We start from the raw sequence: 20,730 nt of genomic DNA on the forward strand, positions 1-20,730 counted from the left end.
GGGACTTCTTCTTGCTGAACTTCTTCCCCCATTCCCACCTCTCCCAGACTGAAATGATCTATCCTAGTTGTCTGCCTGTATTGATCTCTCACTTTATTAGGGTCCTCACTTCCTTCTCAAGTCTTCTCCTTGGAGAAGTCTTCCCTAGTACACTCTCTAAAATAGTTTCTCCACCCGTCATGAGGCCAAATTATTTGTTTACAGTAATATCACTTTCCCCCTCAGCTTTATTGAGGTACAGCTAGTATCCAAAAAGCTGCATGTAATTAATGTTCACAGTTTGGTGGGTTTGGACAAGTGTATACATACACTCACGTTATCATTACTACAAGCCAGGTAATAAACATATCCATTACCTCCAAATTTTCCTTGTGTCCCATTGTTTTGTTTTTATGGTAACAACGCTTCACATGAGATCTACTCTCTTTAAGTTTTTAAGTTCACAAAATCTTATTGTTAACTATAGTCACTGGGTTGTTCAGCAGATTTCTGGAACTCACTCATGTTGTATAACTGTAAATTTATACACATTGAACAACAACTTCCTATTTCCCCCTCCCACCAATCCCTTGGTAACTATCATTCTATTGTCTACTTCAGTACCTTTGATTATTTTAGGTATCTCTTACGTATAAGAGGAATATGCAGTATTTGTCCTTCTGTGACTTATCCCACTTACCATAACGTATTACAGATCCACCCATGTTATCATAAATGGTAAGATCTCCTTCATTTTATTTTATTTTTAAATTTAATTTTATTTTTTGAGATGGAGTTTCACTCTTGTCACCCAGGCTGGAGTGCAATGGCATGATCTCAGCTCACTGCAACCTCCGGCTCCCAGGTTCAAGTGATTCTCCTGCCTCAGCCTCCCAAATAGCTGGGATTACAGGCACCCACCATCACGCCTGGCTAATTTTTGTATTTTTAGTGGAGATGGAGTTTCACCATGTTGGTCAGGCTGGTCTCGAACTCCTGACCTTAGGTCATCTGCCCGCCTCAGACTCCCAAAGGGATCTCCTTCTTTTTAAGGGCTAAATGATATTCTATTATATATATATATATATATATATATATACACGTGTATATATATATATATATATACACGTGTATATATATATATACACGTGTATATATATATATATACATAAAATACACACATATATATATACATATATATATATATATATATATATATATATATATATATATATATGTGCCATCTTTTCTTTACCCATTCATCTGTGATGGACATTTGGGTTGTTTCCATATCTTGGTTATTGTGAATAATGCTGCAGTGAATATGACAGTGCAGATATGTCTTCAAGATCCTGATTTCAGTTGATACACACACACACACACACACACACACACACACATATCTCTATCTATCTATCTATCTATCTATCTATCTATCTATCTATCTATCTTTATCTCCAGAAGTTGGACTGCTGTATCATATGGTAATTCTATTTTTAGTTTTTTGAGAAACTGCCATACTGTTTTCCATAGCAGCAGTACAATTTTACATCCTATTAACAGTATATGAGGATTCTAATTTCTCCACAACCTCACCAACACTTGTTATCTTTTGTTTTCTGGACAATAGCCATTCTAACCAATGTGAGTTGATACCTGTTTGTGGTTTCAATTTGCATTTCCCTGGTGATTAATGATATTGAGCATGTTTTTATATTATCTGTTGGCATTTGTATGTCCTTTTGGGGGACATGTCTACTTGATTCCTTTTCCAATGTTCTAACCAAATTACTTATTTTTTGCTCTCGAGTTGCAGAAATCCTTTATATAGTTTGGATATTAACCCTTTATCAGATATATGGTTTGCAAATATCTTTTCCCATTCCATAGTTTGCCTTTTCACTCTGTTGATTATTTTCTTTGCTGTGCAGAAGTTTTAAAAAATTTGTTATAGTCTCACTACTATTTTTGCTATTGTTGCCTGTTCTTTTGGTGTCCTATCAAAGAAACAATTTTTGTCAAAACCCATGTTGAGACATTTTTTCCTTACATTTTCTTCTAGGTGTTGTATGGTGCCAAATTTTACATCAAATCTTTAATCAATTTTGGTTAATTTTTGTGTTTGGTAAAAGATAAGCATCCCATTTCATTCTTCTGCAGATGGATATCCAGTTTTGCCAACCCTATTTATTGAAAGACTACCCCTTCCCCCTTGTATTCTTGGCACTCTGTAGAAAATCAGTTGACCATACATATGTGGGCTTATTTCTGGGGTCTCTATTTTGTTTCACTGTTCTATGCTTTTATGCCCGTGCCATACTGTTTTGGTTACAGTAGCTTTGTAATACATATTGAAGTCAGGAAGTGCAATGCCTCCAGCTTTGTTCTTTTTGCTCAAGATTTCTTTGGATGTTTGGGGTCTTTCGGAGTTCCATATGAATTTTAGAGCTTTTTTTTTCTACTTCTGTAATAAACATCTTTGAGATTTTGACAGGGGTTTCATTGAATCTATAGATTATTTTGAGTCATATGGATGTTTTAACAATATTGATTCATCCAATCTATGAACACAGGATGTCTTTCTATTTATTTGTGCCTACTTTAACTTCTTTAATCAATGTTTTATAGTTTTCAGTGTACAAATCTTTCACCTCCATGGTTAGATGTATTCCAAAGTATTTTACTATGTTTGATGATATTGCAAATGGGATTGTCTTAATTTCCTTTTCATATAGGTCATTGTTGATAGTTACATTACTTTTTGGTATTGTGTTGTGTATTTATTAGTGCAACTTCTTATTAGTTGTCTTGTTAATATCTGTAGCCCAGCACCTAAAACAATGCCTGGTACATGATAGGCTCTTGATAAATAGTTGATGATTCATTAAGAAAATTAATACCTGCTGATTTATAAGGGGAAGAAATATGGTAATTTAATCCATGACCTTTATAGCAAAGAAAGTCATGAAAAATGAGATAGGTAATGAGGTTTAAGTACAGGAAAAGTGGTTCAAGAGGCTGAATTTTGGAACTGTGAGTTGAAATGTATTTTAGAATGAGTTAGAAGTAAAAGACCTGTAGATTAGAGTCCTTGATTGTCAAGAGTAAAGGGATCACATTCAAGGCTTGATAAGGATTGGTCCAGCTACATTTTTTTTCTTGAAACATTGAAATTTATTTTTTTCCATATGAAAATCCATTATTTTCTGTGCATCCTGAGGCACAAATAAAAAGGTGTATCTTTTATAATTTTGTTGAAATTTGAAAATACTATCTTTGGGGTTTTCTAATTTCTTGCGCAATTGTTTTTCCAAAAGTTAAGTGGGAAAAAGGGATTTAAGGAGGGAGGGAGAGAGAAAAGGAGGGAGGGAGAGAAGGAGAGATGGATTTTGCTTTTCTTCTTTGATCAGCAGAAAAAAATGTGACTGCTAGCAACAGCTTTTGGAGAGGGGAACAGGAATCTAGATGTGCAGAAGCCAGGAGGGCATATGTGGAAATAAATATCTTTCCTGCGAGTGTGGCAGAGAGGTGGGTATGATTGTTGTCCAAAAAATACTAGTAAGCAAGTGGCAGAGAAGCTGATAAACTGACTCAGCACACTCTGAGGTTTGGAATTGTTCTTTTAGAGAACTGATAACGGGAGGTGTTATAATAGCAGAGAAGGGGAAAAAATGACCTATGTATATATTTTTTACTCTCCAAGGATTTTGGTTATGTTTCTTTCTTTAATCATATTTATTTCATAGTAAAATAAAGTTATTTTATCATAAGATAATGTAGACCTAGAAATGGATGTAAATGCCAATTAGAACTGTTGATAAGGAATGAAAATATATTAAAGGCTTTGACATGAACACTTTTTAGGTTTAATTATTTTTAAATTAGTAAATAGAGAATCCGTGGACATGAGGGCCCTTCCTCTGGCTTGTGCCACACTTCAGAAACATGTCTCAGTTGATTTCATCATGTGGAAAAAAATGGGTTAGATTAAAAAAAAATTAGGTGAAAGAGTAAATAGTTGGGAGATTTAAATGAAAAATTATGAGTTGAAAGTAAGAAGTGAAAATCCATGTACTGCGTCTTGCCATAATTAGAATCTGGGTGCGTTTGATGAACTGAAGATTAAATAGTTTCTGGGAACTTTTAAAGCCAGGGGCTTTTCCATATTCCCAGCATGACTCAGCATGGGAAACTTCCACTCAGTGTAAGCATGCAGGGCATTTTGTGAGCAGAAAAGCCCTGCCAGCTTCTAAGCTTCATGGGAGAAAACAATAAATATGGAAGCCACCAGCTCTCTGAATTAAAGAGAACAAAAAATGTTCTGAAAAGAAAAGGAAGGGGTAGCTCAGTAAAGAGAACCTTATTACTGGGAGCTATTTAGTCATGGCAAAAGTTCTAGATCTTTAAGACAAGAGTTGTTGGTATCGATTATGTGAAAGAATTAGATACAGATATCTAAAACTATCTGATATAATTGGAATATAAAACCATTTAAACAATATAATGAGAGGACAAGAGATTTGGAGCCTCAAAGCCTGGGTTTGAGTCCCAGATCTATCACTTGCTTGTTGTTATTGAAGTATAATATACACACAAAAAGCTGCATAAGTGATGGTGCTGTGGCTTTTCACAAAAGACACATATGCATGTAACCAGCATTCACTGAAATTGAGGATCAGGATATTAGCAACATCTCAGAAAGCCCCTTTTCACTCCCTTTTTGTTACTGACCCCCAAGGGTAACCAGTCTCCTGATTCCTGATTTCTAACACAGCAGATTCATTTTGACTGATTCATCATAACTTTATATGAATAGAATCATTCAAGACGTACTCATCTGTACTTAGTTCTTTGGCTCAACATTATGTTTGTGATTTATTCCTGTTGCTGTGTCTAGCTGTAATCTGTTAGTTTTCATTGCCAAATTACATTGTTTGGAATAAATAAACATAATTTATACAAATTACACTTGATGGACATCTGGACTGTTTTTAGGCTTTGGTTATTCTCAGAATAACCAAATACAAGAATGTTGCTAAGAACATTTTGTACATTTCTTTTTGTGAACATCTTAATGCATTTCTGATAGTCTGCCAGGGCTGCCATAACAAAGTTGCAAAGACTATGTAGTTTAAACCACAGAAATTAATTTTTTCACTGTTCTAGAGACTGGATGTCCAAGGTTAAGAGGTCAGCAAATTTGGTTTATCCAGAAGCTTCTCTCCTTAGTTGCAGATGCCACCTTCCCATTGTGTCCTCACACCATCTTGCCTCTGTGCTTTGGTGTCTCTTTCTCTTCTTATAATCACATCATTCCTATTGAATTAGGGCTCCATCCTTTTTGCTTCATTTAATCCTGCTAACCTTCTTGAGGCCCCTGCCACCAAATAAATACAGTCATATTAGTGGTTAGGATTTCAACATATGAATTTTGGTAGGACACAATTCAGTCTATAATGGCATTTATGTGGGTTATATTCTTAAGTAATAAATGCTAGGTCATTGCATTTGAGTACATTCAGGTTTAATAGACACTGAGAGTTTTCCAGATTGGTTGAACTGGTTTGCATTGTTGTTGGAAATGCAAATCAGTTCAACCAATCTGGAAAACTGTCATTGTCTAGGGTTCCAGTTACTTCATAATATTGGTAAATATGGCATTGCCTTTCTCATTTTATCCATTCTGGTGTGTATGTACATGGCATATCACTATGATTTAATTAGCATTTCCTTGATGATTACTGAAACTGAATATCTTTCATATGTTAGTCACTTGGATATCCTCATTTGTAAAATGTCTGTTCAAAACTTTTGGCTACTTAAAAAATTTAATTGTCTGCCATTTTCTGATTGATTTGTGGAAGTTCTCATAATCCTGGAAGTAAAATATTCTTTGTTGAATAGATACCTAGCCAATATCTTCTGCTAGTTGATGTATTTCCTTTTCAGTCCTTAGTCATGTTCTGATTAATATAAGTGATTTTAACAGGGATGTTTAATTTATAACTTTTTCTTTTATGGCTAGTACATTTTTAACCTTATTTAAGTAATCTTTGCTTGGCTTTAAGTTACGAAGATTTTTTATTTTTTAACAACAGCTTTATTATTTTACTTTTACATTTAGATCTCCCGTACATCTACAACTGATTTTTGTGTATTGTGTGAGGCTTGGGAAGGGGTCATGATTCACTTTTTCCATGTACAATTCAGCAGACCCCAAATCATTTATGTAAAAAACCCATCCTTCCTTGCTGCACTGCAGTGTCACCTTTGTCATAAATCAGGTGACAGTTCTAATAATCGGTCAGTTTCTGAATGTGCTCTTCTTTTTCACTGGTCTATATTTTTATCCTTGAGTCTATAGCAAACTTTCTTAAATATAATAGCTTTATATGTGACTGGCTTGACTTCTTGTATTAACAGTAATCTTTGTCCAGGGCTATTCTTGGCCTTTTGCATTTTCAAACACGTTTTAAAATTAGCTTATTAATTTCCACAGAAACACCTTCTGGAATTTTGGTTGGGAGGATTACATCAAATTTATAAGTGAGTTTAGGAAGAACTGATATTTTTAAAATATTGAACCTTCCAATTCATGAACATGGTATATCTCATTATTTAAATCTTTCTCAATTTCTGTCAGTACATTTTGTAGTTTTCTATGTAGTTGTCTCATACATCTTTCACTAGATTTATTCCTACATATTTTATGATTTTTAAAGTTATTGTAATTTAGCCAAGTGATTTTATTGCCATCCATAACCTCTAAGTATGAGTAGTTTTTAAATTTTGAATAATATTGATCCAAAGATAATCTAGCCAAATCATAATGATCAAGCAGTATCTTCACCCATTCCTTTGCACATTTCTTTATTGAATAATCATTTATTGCATTCCTCTTGTATGCTTGGCACAGTGCTAGATGCTAGGCACACAAAATAAGGCACAAAATAATCATTTATTGCATGCCTCTTGTATGCTGGCTGGGCACAGTGCTAGATGCTAGGCGCACAAAATAAGGTGGTCTTTATTCTAAAGGAGGTAACAGTTCATGGTTAAACAAACAATAACAATACAGGATGACAAATTGAAGAGGTATGACTAATTAGGAAACCCAGAATGATGCTGAATAATAATCAGAATAATTACAGAAGTCATATTAAGGAGTAGCAACAGAAATAGCACAATCACTTCACAAGGGACAATAATAATTGAGCAAAATGAAGGTTAGTGTGAAAGAAAATAATTTGTTAATATTCTGTTTAAACTTGTAGCACATAAAGAGAAACTATAAAAACTTCTTACAGAATCATATCACACCAAATTGGTGCTAAATTAAACTCAAGCAAGAAGGTAGGAGCCTTGGAATACAGTGTGATCTGTGTTGTCTTGATTTAATGGGTTTTTGAGGAGTAGGAGCCATAAACATAAATGCAACAAGTGATCTTCTCCAGGCTGGGGCCACAGAAGAAAGGGCCTGTTTAGGTCACCAGGAGGAGGAATTTATCTGGAAGCAGTGGGATGGGAACTGAGACGAAACCAGCTCCATTATTTATTTACAAGGCTGCTTTAGGAAGTATGGATCCTTTTGTTTTCTAGAAGAACTATAAACAAACTTCTTCTCTGTTTATTTGTATAAAGGATACCACTGAATTTTTGTAAACAAAGTAGACTGTTAGGAATAAAGGATAGTTTGATTTAGGATATGTGTCCATAACATATATTATCTAAGGAGAGTTATGCTGCCTATTGACAGTGGCAAATTCACGATATTAAAGCAAACGTAAGAATGATGAAAATACAGCAGTGAAAGTGCAAGGGATTGAGAAGTGAGGATTTTGAACTTCTACTAGTTCTGAAAAGCATGTCTAATTTAAATTAGAAGTAAATGGATGTAGTAGAAATATCTTTCAACTAGGAAAGAGTCTCAGTTTTTACACATTTTAAAGCTATTTAGCCTCTCTGGTTTTCAGTTTCTCATATAGAATATATTGCTTTCCTTCCATAGCAACTCACCTAATAGTTGCACTCAATAAATATGAGATACATGAATGAATATATAGGAGATAATCAGTGGGAGAGGGTCTTTATTGGGTCTTCTTAGTTTTAATACTCTCTATATTTTCTTTAAACAATCATATATTCTCCTATGGGTTACATTTTATTTCTGCTATTGACTCCTAAATTATAAATCCATCTCAGATCATTCCTTGAACTCTAGGTATGTATATCTATTTTCTTTTAACTGGACATCTGCAATTGGATACTCCAGCTAAAAATTGACATACCTAATGTGAACTCATTGATTTTTATCTTCTTCCCAACTTGCTCTCCTCCTGTGCCCCTAGTTTAGTTAACAGCATTCAGCAATGGACCCCTTTGCCCAATATACCATTGATCACAATTTCCCAAAGGGGCTATGTCCTAAATAGCTCTGGGAAGCAACCACTTCTCTCTCTGTTCATACTCCCACAATCCTTGTTTAAGTCATTGCAAAAATGGCCTGCACAACTCTAGCAGCCTTTCAAACTGGTCTCTGACTTTAGAATATTCTCTTTGAATTGATTGCATTATTTCAGACAGTGATCTTTCTAAAATATAACTCAAATCCCATCACTCTCTGCCTAAAATCATTCAATGATTCCACATTGCCCCAAGGATAAAGTGCCAACTCCCTAAAGTGGTTTACCATCCTTGTTATACACTCCTGCTTTCCTTTCCAATCTCATTTCTTGAATAAATTCTGTCTTCGGCCAGACTGTGCTGCTTTCCTCACCTGGGCTTTATGCTCCACTTTCCTGACCCTGAACATGATGTTCTGCTTGCCTAATTGCTTCCTCCTTCCACCCAGCTCTCACCTCCAGCCTCCACATCTTTGCCTCCTCACCTGACAATATTCTCGCCATCTGTATTATTTCAATGTAGAAATCATCTTTGTAAAGATGTCTTTTCCCCGTGGTTGCTACTACTCCTTTCCTAGCACATTTGTATGCTGTATTATCTGTTAAATGTCTGAGTCCCCCACTAGATGAAAAAACTTTGTGAGTATGTGAATGTTTACCTGTCTGATTCACGTTCATTGTGTTGTCTAATTGTCTGGCTCAGCATAGATTATTAATAACTATTTATAAAATAAATCACTCTGTTGCAATATTAAAATACTATAATAGAATGTTAAATAAAATTATAAGGCTGAGACAACCGTTTAAATTTGACTGGCGTGGGTTGGGGTATAAAGAAAATGAGAGCCTGGGGCACTTCAGAGGCAATTTATGACACATAAAGTACCCTTCCGGGGCACTTTATGATGTCAGAACAAAAAAGTTGTGCTTTTCGTTTGGGATTTTGGGAATGAACCAGAGTACAATCCTTTCACTGCTGCTGCTGTCATATAAGCTCTAGGGACAATAAAGAACATTGTGACCTGAAAAAATAGACTTTGGAAAAAGCTCTTAAAATCTGGGGTGTTACACAAGAGGATATGACATGTCTTGCCCAGTGAATAAGGCTCTTCAGAAAACTTCTAAAAAGAGGCTGCATCTGCTTTAGTTGCTTAGAGGAATGCATATTCTCTGAGCACTGTTTTCTCCAAAACATTTTGAGAAATGGGCCTCAGTTTTCTTACTTGTAAAGTGGGTACAGTAGAAAATGTACCTCATCATCTTGTACATGAGGATTCAATAAACCAAAGTAAATAAGCTTTTACAATGGCCTGACACCTAGTAAATACCAGATAAGTGTTTGCTTCCTTTATTACCATTGTTATCAATTTGACTCTGAGATAAGAGCTAACACATAAAGTGAGAGGCATTGTTGTGGTACATCTGCAGAAGTCATTTGTGTTCTCCAAGTCCTTCCAGAGTTCCTCTGGGGACGGTGCATGAGAGTCCTGGGGTTGAGTTCCTGCAGTCTGGCCTCAAAATCTGTGGCTCCTGGCTGAGCTTCAGCTAACAGTATATCTGAGTTTTCCTGTCAATCAAGGATATCTTATATGGGACTGAGCAATTTAGATTTGAAATGCTAAATGTGGAACAAATGTTACCACATCAGATAGGAATGGAAACTGTTCTTTGTGGAGAGATACCAGGATCTCTCTTCCTTGGGAAGATGAGCTGAGAGAGGAACACAGAGATGTCGCTCTGTGCAGCCACTGGCACTGGCCCCTGTGCCACCTTAGTTCTTCAGGGTGAGCTTTAATTGTTGTCCAGTGTCATGAGTTTCAGTCTCTATGCTATTGTGAGAAAATTGTGCTAAAAGCCACTGAGAGACCACACAATGACAGCTGGCACACTGATACACTGTGCGGGTTACTGCTAGAGTTCAAGTCTCTCAGGGATGCTCCAGGGCACAAACCCTCAGCCTCGGGTATTCATCCAGGGAGGTTTGGATCCGATTCGCATAAATCCCAGTGTGGTAGCAAGGAATTTCCTGCCTCCTACTGCTTCAGGACACCTGCTCAACCCATTTTTAGAAGGCTTTCACAGCCCTTTTGGGGCATTCCCAGGACAGGTGGGCAGGAGGTGGTGGCCGTGGGGGCTGGACATCCATCAGACCTGGGATGGAGTGGTGCCTCACCTGGATCTGCACATCCCAAAGAGGTACCCAAGGCTGGGCCAAAAGGAAATGAGTGTACGTGGCTTGTACTTTGACCAGTGTCCTGCTCCTTGCCTTCCTCCCCCTGCACATGGTGTGAAAAGGAGTGGCGTTCTCCCAGACACAGACCAACTTTGGAAATTGGGATTGTGGTACTATCTGAAAGTGTGCAGCATTTTAACCTCGAGTGTGTAAGTCTAAGTATTGTAAAACATGTTTTTATATTTTAAAAGCTCTTAAAGGTAATTTTATTTTATTGAACATCAGAAACTATCTACATATTCATAAAGAATGCTTGATTAAAAGACAGTATCTCCCAGAGCGCCAGAAATTTTAGTGTAGTTACACTCATTTGGAATCAGCCTAACACTTACCATATTCATAATTACTAAGAAATTCTAAGGAAAGTGTATGTATGCACATACACATCATATACATATTCAGAATATATGTGTATATAGATTATATACCGTAAATATATATGTCTGTTACCTGTCTTTTTTTCTATAAAAAAAAACTTTATTCATGCCTAGTATTAACTCCCAGGCAAAGCATGTATTTAAGGATTAGGCTAATGTTTAAAGGTTTTCGAGAAGGCTACAACCCTGAAATATTATCTGATTAGAAAATAAAGTTGGTGGTTCTGCAGTTAGCCTTTGGCTTTATTTCAGTATTGGTTAGTGTTCTAATGCTTGCTGAGTTTGAAAACTTACGTGAAAGTACATCCCTTATTGATCAGTAAATTTATTTGTATGTTATTGTTGCAGCTGTTAAATGAGAAATTTAATTTTCTCTCCTTAATTCAGTTTGGCTTTCTGACATGTTGCTCTTCTCTCCTTGAAGCAAGTGCTGTTTGCCCATTTTCCTTACTCCAGTGCCTGTCACATAAAAGGGCTTAGTACATATTTCCTGAAGTAATGACTTATCAGATGCATGGTCAGTGCCCCTAAATCTTGCTTCTCAGTGTTAGTTTGGAGCCTGAGAAAGAATGGCAGCTTTGGAAAAGTAAATTTAAAAGTCAGAAATCATTAAAATGCACAAAAATATCCCAAAGTAAGGTTTTCATGTGATTCTACCACAGGGCTTATTGATCTTTTCTCATATTTAGGCTTTGTTTCTAGGTGCCCAATAGAAGCTACCAAAACTTTAATAGTTGCTAACTCCCACTTTTTCATTATACTCTTGCTAAGTTGAAAAGTCCTCTCCTCTTAGAAACAGAAATGACTGTGCTATATATTGGAATTTCCAAAAGCCACCAGACACCAATGATACACCACAGATGGGTGTCCCTGAGAGTAGAATTAGAACTACTCCCCTCAATGTGGCTGCTGTGTCATCACTAGTGTACTGCAACCCCTGCCAAGGCAGGACAGGGGGACGATGAATGCCAGCTGGATTCCAGTCCACTCCCCAGACTGAATGATAAGGCTCTACCACCGGGAATGGATCATGTCTGTTCAAAGCCACAATGGACAGTGTCCTCTTCTGTCATTGCAGCTACACCATCCAAACTCCCCAGATCCCTAAGGAAACTCAGAAGAACATGAGCAGAACATCACAACAATGGGTGCACACAACTCTGATAAAACATGTACATTTAAGGGTCTCTATTCTCTCTAATAGGTTAATTCAGGTGACATGATAACAAAACTGCCATCTACAGTTTGGGACAGGTAGGGATGAAAGAGGATAGTGGAATGGGATCTTTTCAAATTTATCCAGTGGGGTAAATGGAGGATCATTTGTTTCACGGTAGCAACATGAAGTAACTATAGAAGATTATTTTCAGAGAAAAACAAAACAAAACAAAAGCCACTACTAGTCTGCCTATTATGCCTGAAATGTCATTGTCTATCTATATACTTGCAAAGGCTATTATCTGCTGAATTTAAGCAGTAAAAACATCAGAAAAACTAAATAATGGTCTATGTATTGGAAATATTTGTAACAGTTTCTTACATTCATAACATTAGAGCACAAACATATTCCCCTCTCCTTTTCTTTTTCTCTTTTGAATTTTCAGTAGAAGGGAACGACAATAATAGGTATAACTTTTATTGGATTATACTTTAATTTAGATCACTGAATTATGTATACCTATAGCACCCAAAATGCTACTAAAGTCAAGACTCTACATTTAAATAATAAATAAGTAATCCGGTTTTACTCACATCCATCTTCCATGATGGTCCAACTAGACACTCCCCATTGTGACTGTTGATGGAAAATTCTTCCATGTTTGGAGAAACCACAGTTACTGATTAGTTTTAGCTGTAAGAGCTCTTTCCTCCTTCTCATCAAGCCTAGGCAAGGTTCCACAAACAATATTTTTTCCCGTTTGTCTCCACTCAGAAGTTCTTAATCTCTTCAGGGAACAGGGAAAATGCAGGAGTCCCCTTTGTACATCACTTGAAATAAATAAAAAAATTATCCAAAACTCATATCATTACAGGAGTGACTGTTACAAAGAGAAAGAAGCAAATTATGGTGACTAGAAATGACAAGAGCTTGGATTTTTCTTATTTTTCAGCATGAAATTCTGAGCTTACAACCTGCAAAATCCTATTATAAAAGTAAGATAACTGCCATATAAAAACTGAAAATCATGCAAATATTTATGTGTGATCCCACTAGTTCACTCCATAATTTTTTGGAGTGTAAAAAACATTTATGATTTTAAAAATCACATCCAATAAAAAAAAAACAGAGTCATAAAATAAAAGAAGAGGAACACAGGCTCTGCACTGCACTGAAACATTTTGAAATATAAAATGAACAACCAATGCTTTACAGCAAAAATATGATCTCATCAACAAGGTAGGAAAATGAGCAATTGCCTTTTAAAAGGCCATAGGTTACTAGCACAGTGGTTGTGAGAATAGATGTTTGAGCCTAACCGTTTGGTTTAAAAATCTGACTTTTCCACAGAGTTCTTAATGTAATATTGGTCAGGTTGCTTCATTTTCCTTATCTGTTAAATGGTGATACTCATGGTACCTACTTTATCTTGTTATTATGACACTTTGAGGAGTTAATAATGGGAAGTACATAGAAAAGAGCATAGAATAATGGTGTTTGGTAAGATTAAGTTATTGTTACTATTCTTCAATTTCTAATATTTCAAAAGAAATACAGACCTGCACTGAAGAATAATTGACTTCCTCATGCTTCAAAGCTTCATTAAATAATAACAAATAGTTGATTCCTTTTTCAGTTGGGAAAGCAAATTCAGTCAGTCTCTTAGAATATTACTATAAATTGTTTCTGAATTAAAACTCATCCCAAACAAATGAGGAGATACTTTTCTGTGATTTATGCTATAGTTTGGAAAAAGGATACTGTTGTGCCAGGAGTTGAAAACTGTACTGAGAAAGTCTATTCATGCTGACTGCAAATATTACCAGTGGGAGGAAAATCGAGTGTGTCCAATTTCATCACTGATAAATCTAGAATGATAACAGATCTGCGTTGAGGGCAAGGTCTAGGAATGCTCTTCTTATACACAGAATGTTTTTGCTTAATTTCATGCTCTACAGTTTAAAGGTCATTTCTTATAAAATTATAATAACTGATGAGGCAGCCAGTGTCCCGCCCTAGAGATTTCTATCTTATTTTATAAGATAAAACTAAGGTTTCCTTTCAAGTTAAATAAGGATTATAATCTTCTTTGTGCAAGGGGAAAAAAAAGAGTATTCTTACTAGATCACCTTGGTAAGATTTGTGATTGTTTATCCTACAAAATATTTAAGTTTTGAAATTATTTCCTTTTTCCTCCAGGAGAGTATAAAGTTTTCCCTTGTGATTATTTGTTTTTCTTCAAAGCATATTAGCCCATATTTATCACAGCCATGGTCTCCATGTCAACGAGAGAAGATGCCATGTATCTCTTAATTTAGCAGCACTTTTTGTTCGGGTTTCCAGATAAAGCACAATACAAGTTTTAAATATAAAGAGAACAGGCTGTTTCTCACAAAGCACACTGGTGTTCATAGGATGCGAAACTGGGCCCCCGTGGTGTTTGATAAGAAAGGAGTTCCTAGCATAAAGATATTTTTAGCACATCTAATAAAACATCAGTTCCATCTGCATTTCCTTAACATGTTGTGCTAAATTCTCCCTCCAACATTCCAGGATTAGTTTGTTACCCAAAGTGACAGGGAAAAGTCACTTTAGATTTTTCTGTCACCATAGGAAAAAATGAAAAGCTGTTATTATATTAACATATGTTTCTCTTTCTTTATCAAATACACAACAGCATTTGGGTCTCTACTAAAAATTATCATACACTTTAAATGATGAACTGAGCCTCTTGAACCTTTTTATTTATTTTGGGACTATAACATCAATATGTTTAAATCAAATATTTATTTCTGTGTCTGTTTCAGACATGACTCCTAATAACTGAAAAAATAGAAGTTTATGTTTACTTCTCTACATCTCTTTCCCTAAACAATTAACTAACAATTAGCTGTTGACTTCTTCATTCACTGAGATCTTAGTTAAAAGAGTATATATGTGTGTGTGTGTGTGTATGTATGTATGTATACACGTACACACATATATATACTATTATATACTATATATAATAGTGTATATATATATACACACACATACATGCACAGAGAGAGAACAATAAAACATAATGAAAAGTGATATTTCAAAAGATCTGTTAAGTGAAATCTTAGTCAAAATATAAGCTAGTTGCCAATATATAGAAAGGTTTATTATGCTATAATTGGTTTTGTACATGATTTGTAATATCTCTCCCTCTTCCATGCATGTAATTTTGATTTAATACCAGGTTGATAATTACCTGGCCAAAATTAGATTTCTTATTCATGTAAAGGTAGATATCAAATTTACATATCAGTAATGCAAATGGGAAAAAATTATTTGGGGTAATTTATTTTGATTGGAACTATTTGTATCACTGCTCAATAAATCTATTATTTGATTTTATTTCTAAGGCATTATTAAAGAGATTTGTCAGAAAAAATACATTTATATATGTGTTTATATATGTATACACATATACACATATAATAAAATAGAAGTTGGAGATATATATGCATGTGTATATGATTGTTTGTGTGGTGGTACATAGGACTACATTACAGAATGTTTTTCTAAAGTTAGGAATTTAAAGGGTGAATATCATACTAGGCCACATCTTTTGAGCTGTAAAAAAAAAATCACTAAATTTTACAGATTTGAGGTTTTAAGCTTAAAATTTTAGTTGCATTTTTAAAAACTTGAAAGCAGTTGACAAACTGGTTTCAAAAAGAAGAATTAATATTGCAAACATGAAATTACTCATAAAGCTAAATCTAGACAAGATAGAAATAAATTTTTGAACATTTAAAATCCAAGTTTATTTTTAAAGCACATATGTTTTACATTAGAAGGTGTAGCCGTACCAATCATCTCTTCCTCTAAAATATTCAGAGTACATTTTTAGAACATTGTAGCAACACTTAAATGCCAGTGGTTCATTATTTTAAAAGTGTTGCCCCTTTTAACAAATGCATGATTAATATTGAAGTATAGCTTTTATTCTCTTTTTAAGGCTTCAGACATAAAGTCTATTTTATGGTTTATAAACTAATGGGAGACATAGTGACTTCTTTCATTGCTAGGAAGATTTTAAATGTTCTTTTTGGGAGGCATAGGGATTAATTTTTTTTTTCCTGCTTGAGAAATGTTACCTTCTGAGAAAAAAGCAAGGCACTTTTTCTACTGTTGTGATTCCTTAAAATAGTTTTCTTCCCTTTTGTTTTGTTTATAATACCCTTCCCAACTCCCTTGGTCATCTGAGCATGGCTGATCACTTCACGTCTCTTTTTTTGATTCATGAATACAGAATTCTAACTTTATATTAAAATGAAGAACATATTTAGTTCTCAAGAATAAGCTCATCCTGGGAATATATTGCATGTTGGCAGATGTATTAAACCAGAAAAAGAACATAGGAGGGATGTGGCCCTCCTTGTGAGCAACACTCTCATGGTTGAGTCCTTACCGAGGGTTAGGAAAACATCCTGGTATATACATTTGAAGCTTATTGGTTTCCTGAGCTAAGATTAGGGATTAGGACAAGAGGTGTGGCTGGAATCTCTTCCTGAAGATTGTGATTCTGGGACTCGGAGGAGTCAAGACCAAGGTTCCCACAGCAGAGCCAGAAAAATAAATAAATAATTAGGCCTACACCTCTGACATTTGACCACCCCCTTGGGTATTGTGTCTTGGTCCTAATATATTTTGTTTTCCTAGTTTAGGCTGGAACTGTGTAGAGCATTGAGCAAATACTTTGTTCTTACCAAATACATATATATTTTTGGACTGTACAAATACTAAATAAGAATAACCATATACTTTTTTTTTGAGATGGAATTTCACTCTTGTTGCCCAGGCTGGAGTGCAATGGTACAATCTCGGCTCATCGCAACCTCCACCTCCCGAGTTCAAGCAATTCTCCTGCCTCAGCCTCCCGAGTAAGTGGGATTACAGGCATGCGCCACTATGCCTAGCTAATTTTGTATTTTTAGCAGAGACAGAGTTTCTCCGTGTTGGTCAGGCTGGTCTCAAACTCCCGACCTCAGGGCATCCACCTGCCTCGGCTTCCCAAGGTGCTGGGATTACAGGAGTGAGCCACCGCGCCTGGCATGTAGTCCACCAAGGAGGTGTTGAGCCTCTCTCTTGCTAGACAACCTATCAGGCAATATTTTCTTATAAATTACTTCAATAATGATTACTCTTGAATCATTAACTTTGTACATTTTTTCCAGATGAGGATTTGTGCTAAAGCTTCATTTAACTATTTTGGGGAGCTTGTTACCACAAAAGAGTCAGGACAGGCTCAAAATCAGCCAGAAGTTTACCTATTCAATTCAACAAAACAAAACAGGTACCTATGATATGCTAGGCTGGATAGCAGCTGCTGGAAGGTTTAGAAATGTATTGCCGTCTCTTATTTCTTTCTGTCTTGGATTTCGACTTATTTCAAAAATAAAAATAGCCACACTGTTGAAGACAATATGACGGAGACTTTGGAATCAGACAGATCTGTCCCAAGTCTGTGACTACCAGTCATGCAACCTCAGACCATCATCCAGTCAGAGCCTGGGCTCCTGTAAATGAGTGTGGTCACCACTCACTCACATGCTGCAGGGTTGGACACATGCCAACATACAGTAGGGGACATGGGCTAAACATCCGAAAAATGGAAAATGCTCTTATTCTCAAGGCCAGGCCAATGTCTACATTCCAAAATAGTAGCATTTTAACCTATCTATACATTTTGAATTGTGAAAGAATTCATTGCTTCTTAAAAATATAGTTGACATTCTAAGCAGAGCTGAGTGTTGACTAAAATAAACTGGGCTAGTAGTTATCATAGAAATGTTGATAAGATTACCTGGTATTCATTATACTTAAAAGCAAGACTGGTCCTAGGTAGAAGTGACAAGCTACTTCAGTCTGTTTTTCCCACCTTCGTACCTCCCATTCATCTTCCTTTCATAATTCACACACTAACTGCCCAGAAGCTTCTTTCTCTGCCTTGACATTGTTAGGTGGCCTATTTCAGTAAAAAGCAGTCTCTCTGAAGTGTTGGCTGGTACTATTTAAAACTCTGTTAGCTCACTTGATGCTCTGCATTTTAATAGGGGTCTCTTGAACACACAGGAGTTTTATGTATTTTTGTTTTTTTCTGGTTTTTTTTTGTTTTGTTTTTTTGTTTTTTTTGTTTTTTTTTGAGACGGAGTCTCACTCTGTCACCCAGGCTGGAGTGCAGTGGTGCAGTCTCGGCTCACTGCGACCTCTGCCTCCTGGGTTCAAGCGATTCTCCTGCCTTAGCCTCCCAAGTAGCTGGGATTACAGGCATCTGCCACCATGCCTGGCTAATTTTGTATTTCGGGTAGAGACGGGGTTTCACCATGTTGGCCAGGCTGGTCTTGAACTCCTGAACTCAGGTGATCTGCCCACCTTGGCCCCCCAAAGTGCTGGGATTACAAGCGTGAGCCAACACACCCAGGCACACAGGAGTTTTAAACCCAGGAGAATTGTGCTGTCATGTTAGGCAGACTGTCTTCTCTGTAGCTACTCTCTCTCTCTCAGAAAGCTCATCGATTCTTATGACATTAACTTTCATTTTTATTTTTATTATCCTTAAAAATATAGGTCAAAGCTATCTGTCTCTTTCTCCCAAGTTTTGGTACTGCAATTTCTTAATGGACATTTCAGTTCAACAGATATTTGTGAGGCATCTCTTATTACATGTGAGACGAGGATCAATACTTTACATGTATTTAAAATAGACACCAAGTTTATGTACCTGTGAAGAAATATTTTTGTTCTCTTTTCCATAATCAATTTGTACTATGATTTGTCACCAAGTCCTATCAATTCTTCTTTTAAAGAATTGCCATCACCTTACACTTAGAAGATACATTAACTAGTTATCTTAAAAACAAGGATTATAAGTCATTCTACTATAAAGACACATGCACACACACATCTTTATTGCAGCACTATTCACTATAGCAAAGACATGGAACCAACCCAAATGCTCATCAATGATAGACTGGATAAACAAAATGTGGCACATATACACCATGGAATACTATGCAGCCATAAAAAAGAATGACTTCATGTCTTTTGCAGGGACGTGGATGAAGCTGGAAACCATCACTCTCAGCAAACTAACACAGGAGCAGAAAACCAAACACCACATGTTCTCACTCATAAGTGGTAGTTGAACAATAAGAACCCTTGGACGCAGGGACGGGAACATCACACACTGGGGCCTGTAGGGAGTGGGGAGCAAGGGGAGGGAGAGTATTAGGACAAATACCTAATGCATGAGCGGCTTAAAACCTAGATGATGGGTTGATAGGTGCAGCAAACCACCATGGCACATGTGTCCCAGAACTTAAAGTATAATAAATAAAAACAAACAAAAATACAAGAATCTTCCAGCTCCCATGTGATCCCTATGGCAAGTGCAAACTGATTCCCTTCCCTTCACCTCCTCACTTCACCTCAGTAGCACTGAGCTCTGCCACTATATAGCTCTGTGACTTTGAACAATGCATCGGTTTATTTATCCACAAAATATAACGAACAATACCTGCCCTGCCTTTCTTGCAGGATTATTGTAATGATCAGTCAAAATGGTGCGTTGGAAATCATTTTACATAGTAAATATTTATATCACACTGTTAGGAATAGTATTCTTGTTTTCTACCTCATCTTGACGTGAATGAGACATAGTTCAAATCTTGAATCCTCCACGTATTAGTCATGTGAACATTAGGTTACTTATTTAGACTCTCAGAACCACTACATTCTCATTTGTGAAATGGAGACATGAACCTCCATGCAGCCTGATGTAAGGACTAGATGGAGAAAACGTTGATAGAAGTACCAAAGACTGTGCCTACTGCCAACTTGCATGCCATAATGTTAGTTTTTTCTTTGTGTTCTAATTGGTTCAATGTTTTTTGTCTTTACCAGTCTTTCTTAATCTTACCTGTAGGATTTTATTTCTATTTTTTTGGACAAACTTTGTATTTTCTAGGGAGATTGATGAGTGAGTGCATTTTCTGTGGCTGCTATAACAAATTACCACAAACTTAATGGCTTAAAACAATGCAAATGTATTTTCTTACAGTTTTGAAAGTCAGAAGTTCAAAATCAGTCTCACTGGGCTAACATCAAGGTGTCTGTTTCTTCTGGAGGCTCAGGGGAAACCCATTTCCTTGCCTTTTCTAGCTTCTAGGGGCTGCCTGCATTCCTCAGCTAGTGGCCCCTTCCTCACCATACTCCAATCTTAAGCTTTTGTCATCACATCTACTACTCACTCTGATCTCCTGTTCCCTTTTAAAGGATTCTTGTGATTACATTATTAGGATCATCTGGATAACCCAGGCTACTTTACCCATCTCATGATCCTTAAGCACATCTATAAAGTCTATTTTGCTATATAAGGTAAAATTCACAGGTTGTGGAATTAGGATATGGGCATCTTTTGGGTTCAGTATACCACAGTCAGTTGCCTGAAATTCCCACAGACTTCTTATGGTCATGGTTACCTTTTACCCTTTACCAATTTACATTCTCCTTCCTCAAATTTTTCCTTTTTTATTTGGTCTAAATTCT

At 36.1% G+C, this 20,730-nt stretch overlaps 1 long non-coding RNA gene across 1 annotated transcript; it reads right to left on the reverse strand.

The window, feature by feature from the left end:
• On the reverse strand, positions 3,138 to 18,145 carry LINC01069 (long intergenic non-protein coding RNA 1069). The gene is made up of 3 exons (NR_108076.1): positions 17,987 to 18,145; positions 12,744 to 12,980; positions 3,138 to 5,356 (listed from the first exon to the last, which is right to left on the reverse strand). It is a non-coding gene; the product is annotated as a long intergenic non-protein coding RNA 1069 (long non-coding RNA).
• Positions 18,146 to 20,730: the final 2,585 nt, after the last annotated feature.

Source organism: Homo sapiens, chromosome 13, assembly GCF_000001405.40.
Source record: "Homo sapiens chromosome 13, GRCh38.p14 Primary Assembly".
In the NCBI taxonomy this organism is placed as follows: Eukaryota; Metazoa; Chordata; class Mammalia; order Primates; family Hominidae; genus Homo; species Homo sapiens.